The 10752-nt window shown below is 37.1% G+C and overlaps 1 long non-coding RNA gene across 1 annotated transcript in view; it reads left to right on the top strand.

Annotated features, from left to right (window-relative positions):
• The window catches only part of LOC105377989 (uncharacterized), a 347578-nt gene extending 337295 nt beyond the window's left edge, over positions 1–10283 (top strand). The window contains exons 13-14 of the long non-coding RNA XR_002956387.2: positions 2280–2398; positions 9859–10283. This is a non-coding gene — a long non-coding RNA (uncharacterized LOC105377989). The remainder of the gene's footprint in view (positions 1–2279; positions 2399–9858) is intronic.
• Positions 10284–10752: the final 469 nt, after the last annotated feature.

The following is a 10752-nucleotide window of genomic DNA, read 5'->3' as shown; positions in this document are numbered from 1 at the left end:
CCCTCTGGGGATGTAGCAACAAGACCTCATTAAGGGAGCAGCAAGAGCACCCCTCTCTGGACACAAACAAACAAACAAACAAACAAAAAACAAAACTGCCGGTGCATTAATCTTGGACTTCCCAGTCTTCTGAACTGTGAGAAAATAAATTCCTGTTTATTATAAATTACCAGCTTAGGTATCTTGTTATAGCAGCAGAGTTGTGCTAAGACACCCTATATAATGGAAAATTTTATCAAATTTACTTCTGTATTACTGGTTCAATTTTCTGCTTCCATAATTCTGTTCTTTCTTACTGTCTTCAATTATCTTTGTATTTCTGTTAATAGTCTGATACTTTTATTATTTTTTAAACTTTTAAATATTTTTCAATGAATTGGTTTGCCATTTTAGTTCAAACTGCCTGTTAACTAGCCCAAAATTAATGACTTGCTGACATATTATCATCAGTTGTTCTTGTATCTTCATCGAAACACTGTTTTATGAAAAATATAAAAGAAATAGATTATGTTTTCTTCCATTTTCATAGAGAAATTACCTTAAGAATATGACTTCCCTGAGTCCTATCTGTGTCAAAATTAGTATTTTGTTCTGGGCATACAGAGAGAATAGTAGGTATCAGAATTAATTGTAGAGCTCTTAAAAATTACCTTCTGTGTCCCTACCAACTGAACTCCTGAGAGTGTTGGCCTATGGTTGGGCCAACTATATTATTTGTTTTTATTTGTATTTACAGCTCTACAGCTAATAATTATAGTTAAATAGGTTTGAGAACCACTTGGCCAAAGAATATTAAGCTCCTCATAGAAGACAGATGCATGTGAAAATTACATTCTCTCACCTCTGTCCTGTATATAACTCTTCAAAGAAGGTTTTATGCACCTCAAGTTTTAATTTATAAATATGCTTTAGTCCACCCAATCAGACTCTTTGAAACTAAGACATAGGTTCTTCACTTCCAGAAAATAAATTAGCTGCCACCTTCCACTATATTGGACAGCCACTTTTTCTTCCACTTTAGCGCCTTTTGTGCTACATGAATTTGAAGGCTGTAAAACTGCAGGAGCTTAACGGCTACCTTTTATTAAGCATTCACCCTTTGTATACATTCTCTTATTTAATCACCCTAACAACTTTAAAGAGATATGTAGCATCGTTTTCTTCATAAGATGAATTAGAAGGAGCATAGAAAGTAAATAATGTATATAAGATTACATAACTGGTGAAGCCAGAATAAGAAGATGGATCATTTAACTCCAAAACCTGTCCTCTTATCCACTGCTCTACATGGCTATATCATGACCTGAAGAAAAAATACAACACTACTGTCTTGGTCTGTTTTGTGTTGCTGTAACAGGATACTATAGACTGGAAATTTATAAGGAAAAGAAATGTCTTACAGTTCTGGAGACTGAGGAGTACAAGGTTGAGGGGTCTGCATCTGGTGTCATCTCATGGCAAAAGGCAGAAGGGCAAGAGAGCAAGAGCAAGAGGAGGCTGAACTTGCTTTTATAACAAGCCCACTCACATGGTAACCAACCCACCCTTGTGATAATGACATCATCAATCCATTCATGAAGGCAGAGCTCTCATAACTAATCATCACCTTACTAGACCCCACCTGCCAACACTGTTGCATTGGGGATAAACTTTGAGGAATACATTCAAACTACAGCAACTACACTACGTCTTTCAGAGTTTTCTTTTCCTTCACTGTAGCAAAACATAATCCACTGGGGCACTGGTAGTGTGAGGAGAATGCAGTGTGAAAAGAGGGCAACATTCAGTTTTGAAGAAATGGAAGAAATAGGTGCCTAGCTACATAGATGCAGATGGTCTTCAAAAAAGAAATCAATTTTCAAGAGCATATGGTTATTAAAGCATAACAAAGCTCAAAAGTTTTGGGGAGGAAAACCACTGTATGTAAATAGATTATACTCTTCATCTTTCATACAAATATCTGGCACTGGGAAAGAGGCCAAGCATAACATCTGTAAACAGTTTGGCATTGTCCATTGTATTCTCAGTCAACAGTACCATTTGAAAGTTTGTCCTATTGTTGCTCATCTCAATCTTTTAGAAGGATTTTTCTGCAGATACATAAAACTGATGAGAGGTCAGGTCAAGGTGGGAATTTTCCCTCATGAGGAAAATATTTTAAATGTCCAGTGAAACTCATGATATCAGTATGTATTGAGTGATTCTTGTATTGCTATAAGGAAATACCTGAGACAGTAATTTATAAAGAAAATAGGTTTAATTGGTTCATGTTTCCGCAGGCTGTACAGGAAGCATGGCACCAACATCTGCCCAGCTCCTAGGGAGGCCTCGGGGAGCTTTTACTCATGGTGGAGGGTGAAGCAGGAGCAAGTACATCATACGGCGAAAGCAAGAGCAAGTGAGTCGGGGGCAGGTTCCACACACTTTTAAATGACCAGATCTCATGAGAACTCACTCACTATCTTGGAGAAAGCACCAAGCCATAAGGGATCTGCCCCCATGACCCATACACTTCCCACCAGGTCCCACCTCCAACACTGGGGATTACATATCAACATGAGATTTGGGTGGCACAAATATCCAAATCATATCACAATAATTAAGGAATTTTAAATACTGAAAGAACAGAATAAACTTGGAAAATAAATATTGCTGAAGCAACTGGTTAAAAATGAAAAATTTAACCAAGCATGTTATTTGACATCATGTGCACAATATAGAATTATCTGAATTTGAGAACATTTCTATAGAATTCAATTTAAAAAACCCAGACTTCCAGGTGTAAGATTAAATCTTTTCATAAGAAAACAAAGAGAGAATGAAATTAACTTGAGGTGATTTAAATCATGGCAGTGTATCAACATCATACGTAGATATTTCTTGTTTAACAAGTAAAATGCAAAGTGGCCAAACAAACCACTGACTTTTTATTTTCATTTTTTTGATACAGAGTCTCACTCTGTCACCCAGACTGAAGTGCAGTGCCACAATCTTGGCTCACTGCAACCTCTATCTCCTGGGTTCAAGCAATTCTCCTGCCTCAGCTTCCTGAGTAGCTGGCACTACAGGCATGCCCTACTATGCCCAGCTAATTTTGTATTTTTAGTAGAGATGGGATTTCACCATGTTGGCCCGGCTGGTCTCAAACTCCCAACCTCAGGTGATCTGCCCGCCTCGGCCTCCCAAAGTGCTGGGATTATACTGCTGAGCCACTGTGCCCGGCCAAACCTCTGATGTTATATACATTTTTGTTAACCTTTTACCTAGTTGCTCTGATATTTGGTAAAAATAATTATAGTGGAAAGAAAATCTTGCTACTACAAATTTATTTTGACATGCTAAGATTTATTTTATTTTCCCTGTTATGCCCAGAGTGATACCTCTCAAAAGTTTAGGCATTAATAAACTAAAGTCAGTCATTATGTAAGTACTGTTCATAGGGATGCATAGAGGCTTTGAATGAGAATTTTGGAAGACAGAAAGGGAAAACAGGTATGAATATTTTGGGAAATGATGTGCCAGTGGGTTCTGTGGGCTCACAGATTTGAGGCATTCTGATCCAGTCTGACATCCTTACTTTACACAGAGGAAACAAAAAAACAGACAAGCTAAGTAAAATCACACAGCATGTTAGTGACAAAAGGAAGTTTTGATACAACCAATGTCCTTCCACATTTAGGTAGAGATCAGTTTCTCTGACAGATTCCCAGAGCACAGCTCAGTTCCTTCATAGTCAAAGAGCTCTTTACCCACACTGTGCTTTGAGAGGAAGTCCCACTTACCTCCAAATATGCCTATTACAAGATTAATGAATTATTCTGGGCCATCAAATCACTTCTCTGAGGTTAATGAATTAAACACTATTCCCAAAGTGAATACATGCTAGGTGCCCTTAAATTATTTCTATCTTAGTTCAAAAGAGTTTTTCAGGTTAACTGGGTATTATCCTGGGGATTCATGAAAAAAATGAATTTATACAAGGCCAGCTACGAAATAAAACAATGGCAAAGAATCAAACAGGTTAGAGGTCGTTTCAATTCAGCTTCTTATTAACTCTCCAAATTGTGAAATTTTTATCCTCTCTAAATGGAATAGTAATACATCTCAAAGTAGTTGTTATTCTTTTGGGATTCCAGATGACATCTTATCCTACTATAATCCTCTCTAGGTCTCAAAATTCCTAAAATTGTTGAGAATTTTAGGAATTCCCAACTCTCAATTAAGATTGTTAGAGATTAAATTTTTTGGATTCAGCATTGGCTTATCTATTTATAAACACTGTTTAAACCAAAGACCCCTCAGGACTCAATACATTGTGGATTACAAATTACATTAAGGATTATAAATTACAATCCTTGTCTAACTGTATCTCCTTTACATATTTCCAAGATGGGATAGAACAGAATAGCATGCCGTCTGGAGCCCATGGTGAGCCAGTGATTAGATACAGGAGAAGTGTAGAGAAAGGCAGGGAAAGGTGAAGAGCTTGGGTTGTTGTGCAGCAGGGCATCTCCGGGTATCGGCCAATAGAGGTTTAAAGGCCTTGATGGGAAACAGGATGCAGGGAAGGACAGAAGAAACAAAATGTTGGAAAGGTTTTCTAAAAAGGAATGGATAAGTGCTCAAACAAGCCACTCACTCCAGAAGAAATGGAAAAATGTTCTGATTCCTGGAATGTTTCAGCCATTCTGAGCTTCAAGTCACCCCTAAGAAGCTCTTGGGAACCCAATATCTAAACTCTCTTTAGGACTGAAACAGAAGAGCTCTTGATGGCCAAGGGGCATGAGAATTATCTTCAAATACATGGCTGTTTCTTTTGTGACCCACTATGTTTAATGTACATCCCTAGGGGAAAGTCAAGAATCAATGTGTTTACTTTGCAAGAGGCAGTTACAGTCATTTCCTCAAAACATTTCTTGAGCTGCTTCTGTGTGGAGGGTAGGAAGGCAGAACATGTGGTGGGTAAGCCCACAAGCTCAGCAGTCAAAACTGCCTGGGTTCAAAACCCAGTCCCACCACTTATTATCCTTGTGATCTTGAACACATAAATTAACCCTTTTATAACTCAGTATACTAATCTATAAGGTAGGAATAATAATAGTATCTACCTGATAGAATTTCTATGAGGATTAAATAAAATATTACCGATAAGTCTGCAATATTCAGTAAATGTTTATTTTTATTATTATTTTTTCTACATGTGAGGCTCTGTGCTACCTGTAGGGGATATTTGGATGAATAAGATGCACATACTTACTCAATTCAAATTTATCACAGATGCAGGCATGAGTCTAAGCTGTGAATTTCTGGGATTTAGACCTGACTGGTCAGTTGATTGAGAGGGGTCCTTCCAGAAGTGTATGGGCAGGAAGAACTCAGGAGCACCTAGTAGTAAAGCCTTAGAAATTGTATGAGAGGAGGTTTTCTGAGTGCAGTGTTGTATCTGCATGTTGTATTTGGTACGTAACTCCCTTTGGAGTCATATCTGCCCAGCTGTGAATGCAGATGATACTGGGCATTAAAGTAAAAACACTGAGAGGAGCAAGGCACAGTGGCTCATGCCTATAAAGCCAGCAGTTTGGGAGGCTGAGGCAGGCAGATCACTTGAGGTCACGAGTTCGAGACCAGCCTGGCCAACATGGTGAAGCCCCATCTCTACTAAAAATACAAAAATTAGGTGGGCGTGGTGGCACATGCCTGTAATCCCAGCTACTTGGGAGGCTGAGGCAGGAGAATCGCTTGACCTGGGGAGGCAGAGGTTGTAGTGAGTTGAGATGGTGCCACTGCACTCCAGCCTGGGCAAGAGTGAGAATGTCTCAAAAAAAAAAAAAAAAAAAAAGAAAGAAAAACCCTGAGAGGCATAGAGGTGGGAAGAGGTGGCATGGAGCACACAAGCAATGACAGAGGGCACCACAACAACTGGAAGGGCCAAAACATCTCTCTGGTTGCTCCACAAGCTACTGCACAGCTCAGGGCTGCCTTAGCTACTCCTATCTCAGTGAACAGAGTGGAAGGTAGCAAGTTCCCAGTGTGAGACAACCATGCCTAGCAGAAGTGGTAGGTTCTACATGACAATTGTCAATCTGACCTGTTGATCAATGCTTGTGAGATATTTTCTGGGACAACTAGAAATTCAAGGGCTTAGCAGAAGCATTGTGGAAAGATTCAGGTTACTATGTGAGCCAGTGGAATATGGATACTGCTTTAAATGGGACCCTATTTGAATCCACATACTGTTATTGTCTAGGATAACTCAGTTTACATTAAGGGACAATTTTATAATGAAAGAGGTTCCAAAATGGAATATAGCATCAATAACTGGAGTTGGTTACAGAAACTGAAGAGCCACTCAGTGGAGATATATTAGATAGAGGATTCCTTTAAAGTGTAGAAATAAACGACCTCTTAAGATTCTTTCTAACTCTGACATTCTTTGGCTCTAAAACCATTTAGAACTTTAGATAAAAGTTATTTCTACTTACAGACTGCCTACTTCTAGACATTCTGACAAGTGCTTTATCAGTTTTTTCTACAAATAGAGTTTGCTTGCATTATAAAAATAGGCTATTAGGATATGAGCTGCTCCATGATAAGAACCAGATTTTAATCACCTTTGTATCCTCAGCAAGGAAGATCAGCCTGCAGCCTGCAGAATTTAATAGAAGTGCCTTGGGTCTTATATTTTTTCTTTTAAATCATTGTTTTAATAGTTTTAACAGTTTACTATTTAAAGATACTCTGTCATTAGTTCATAAAATATTTTTTATAGTGAGATATCCATGCTAAAAAAAATAGACAAGGAGTACCTTATAGTTACTACATAAACAAAAAATCTTACCACACATCCTCTTAGTTAATCCCTGTACCTTACTTGCCCATATGGGCAATAATATATACATATATTATTTAATGTAGTTCAAATATTTAGGCAATCTGACTTATAAGTCAGTTGTATCAGATATTCTGATGGTTAAGATAATTTATTTTGAAAATTCTTCTCTTCCTCTTCTTATCTGTAGTGACTTTGTGGCATGGTATAGTTGACAGAGATTTGAATGTTAATTATTCCAGGGATTTCTTGGACGGAGGGAAGGAGCAGGCAAATATTTTAATATTGATTAAACTTTTAAGCTAAAAACATGGAGCCTTGGTAGTCAAACTTCTGGCATCATCCTGCAGGTGTGATGATTCCTTAACGTCAAAACTGGAAGATCTTGGTTCCCTATGCCTCCTCAGCTTTCTACATGGGTGAAAGGATTTTGGAGAAGGCACATTATCTTTTTAGGTTTCAGTTTCCACACTTACAAAATAAGGGTCTTGAACTCGGTGGTTGTTATCGTACTTTTTAGTGCTAGCATTTTATGGTACTTCATCAATTTTCCAACTCCATTTCATTATTTTCTAAGGGCATCTGTGACAGAATAAAATCCTTTTACATGTTTATAAGGTTTTTCTCCTGAATAATAATAACTTGGTAGTTTGTTGCCTGAAAAAAAAAATGCAACAAAAGTGAGGGAAATGTAAATATGACAGCAAATGGACAAAGGGAAGCCAGAGCACATGGAGAAGTGATAATGCCTATGGGTATGGCCTTTTTTTCTTCTGGGTTTTAAAAGAAAATTAATCATTTTCTCTTGGAATGCTCATTTCAAACACATGTGAATTGTGACTAAATTTTATCTCCTGCCACTGACTCCACTGGGGAGCTTCTGGCGATAAATCTCCTTGTCAGTATACACCGTCTCCCAGAATTGCAAGCATGCCGGAATGAAAAAAAAATCTGGGTATGCTGAAAATAACAGAGACCAGGGCCATCCCATATAAAATTGCCTTTTATTCCCCTAAAGAAAAATGGCAAGGTTTATGTAATAAAATCAGAGACAACATTTGGGGTAATATGACAATAGCCACTTGAAGCCCAAGAGCGGTATGAGGCAATCACATTGGAAAATTTTGTATATTTTAGTCTTTCTGTTTTAAATGGAAAGAAGAAGCAAGTGCAAAACCATGTGTGAAGTCCTGATATTTAGAGGAACATTAAAGAAACCTGATGCATTGGAGGGCAGAATGTCTGGTAGTGCGAGAGTTGGTAACTAAAAGATCATTATTTAATTATCTTTCTGCAATCCTGAGCAGAGAAAGTGTATTTGTCATAAATGGGTGGGTACCAGTATACTATGCAGGGCACAACGGTGACTTCTTGGCAAAGACCATTTTCTATGATGGCTTTGAGCAGCGTATTATTTATGCCTAGTTGGCAATTGTTATTAAATACTAATGATGAACTTCTTCTGAGGAGAAAGGGAAGAGAAGTGATGTCTATATGTGTTGTAGCACAGGAGAGTAAATGCATTGGGGATTGGAACTCAAAGAAACTACAGAGAGATTTGCTCCAGATTATGGGTGTAACTAGAGAACCCTATGTCATACAGTCATAGAAAAAATACGAGTTAGATTGGCTTTTGAATTTATCATAAAGCATTTAAGTCATGAAAATGTATAAAGATAATGCAATCATTGCATATGGAGCCACCCCTAGTTCAGAAATGAGATGTTACTTATGCAGGTAAAATTGATTAGTAAGTCTTTCTTTTATTCCTTTTTTTTTTCTTTTTTTGAGACACGGTTTTACTCTGTCTCCCAGCTGGAGTGCAGTGTCACAATCTTGGCTCACTGCAACCTCCACCTCTTGGGTTCATGTGATTCTCGTGCCTCAGCCTCCTGAGTAGCTGGGATTACACGCTTGTGCCAACATGCCCACCTAATTTTTTTTGTATTATTTGTAGAGACAAGGTTTTGCCATGTTTACCAGGCTGGTCTCAAACTACTGACATCAAGTAATCAGCCTGTCTTAGCCTCCCTAAGTGCTGGGATTACAGGCATGAGCCACCGCGCCTGGCTGATAAGTTTTTCCAACTATATTTTTCTCTCTACTCCCAGAGTTACCAATATCCTACAGCGGTGTATCTTTTCCCACAAATTTCATGTAAATATATATATATACATACATATATATAATATATAAACACAAATCCATGTATACACACATATATGTATACATATATACACACATATATACACACACATATATATACACATGTATACACATATATATCTTCTTCAATAAGGGCATATTCTTAAATAATATATAATGACTTTGCAAGTTTTTAAATTTTCATAGTTATAATTTTCTAATATTATTCTGCAATCTACTTTTTAAAAACTTTTTGGTCAATATAGTTTGTATAGTTTGTGAGAATTAATTCTCTAATATTATTCTGCAATCTACTTTTTAAAAACTTTTTGTTCAATATAGTTTGTGAGAATTCTTTACCTTCACCCATGTTCCTTTAATTTTTTAATCTATTTTATTTCACTGTATGATTATACAGGAGTTCATTTATCCATTCTCTTGTTGAGGGTCATTTAAGTTGTTGCCAGTTTTTTGATGTTATAAACAATGTTTCTACAGAGATTTTATAATATTTTTCTAGGTTCCTAAATATATACCTAGAAATGAGACTGAACCTAGGACACCTATGTCTACTTTGTTAGAATTTGTCAAATTTTGCTTTCCAAAATGTTTGTAGCATTTACATTTACTGCTGGTGATTTAGCTCTATTTGCCCATATTCTGGGTTTCTTGTGGATATGTTATCACCTCATTTTATTTGGATGTTGCCTGTAAGTTTTTTGTTTTACTCATTGAATTCCCCTCTAGACAGAACATTTTCATCTAATCAGTTTGAAACTTCTATTCCTTATGGTTATATATTCATGTATTTATCCAATAGAAAGTAATGTTTTGGTAGTTGTGTTCTGTAACTTACCGTAAATTTGTATTTTCTTCTTATATAGAATTTCTCACATTATGCAAGTATTCTGCCAAAAATGATGTTCTCTTTCTTCCTTGGAGATTTGCAGTGCATTAACATATTAAAGACTCTTAATAATTTCTCCAGTAAATAAACTTGATTATTCATTTTTTAATCCATCATTTCCCAAAATTAATTGGCCATGGAATTATCTATTAATATAATACCTTGTTAAACCCTGCATTGCTGTGCACCACAGAACACAGTTTGGGAAACAGTGTTCAATTAACAAGCCCTTCTGTAAAACAGCATGCTTCAATTCAGAAACACATGAGCTGAACAAATACTTGACACCAAATGACTTTACAGAATGTATTTTCACAATAAGAAAGTAGAAACTAGGTTCCAAGATGGCTGAATAGGAACAGCTCCAGTCTACAGCTTCTGGCGTGAGCGACACAGAAGATGGGTGATTTCTACATTTCCAACTGAGGTACTGGGTTCATGTCACTGGGGTAAAAACATGCCAAATTGTAAAGACCATCGATGCTAGGAAGAAACCGCATCAACTAGCGAGCAAAATAACCATCTAACATCATAATGACAGGATCGAATTCACACATAACAATATTAACCTTAAATGTAAATGGGCTAAATGCTGCAATTACAAGACACAGACTGGCAAATTGGATAAAGAGGCAAGACCCATCAGTGTGCTGTATTCAGGAGACCCATCTCACATGCAGAGACACATATAGGCTCAGAATAAAGGGATGGAGGATGATCTACCAAGCAAATGGAAAACATAAAAAACGAGGGGTTGGAATCCTAGTCTCTGATAAAACAGACTTTAAACCAACAAAGATCAGAAGAGAACTCAGGATTCAAAAACTCACTCAAAACTGCTCAACTACATGGAAACTGAACAACCTGCTCC

Source organism: Homo sapiens, chromosome 6 (assembly GCF_000001405.40).
Source record: "Homo sapiens chromosome 6, GRCh38.p14 Primary Assembly".
In the NCBI taxonomy this organism is placed as follows: Eukaryota; Metazoa; Chordata; class Mammalia; order Primates; family Hominidae; genus Homo; species Homo sapiens.
Note: the sequence above shows the minus strand (reverse complement) of the source record. Positions and strands in the feature narration are given on the sequence as shown.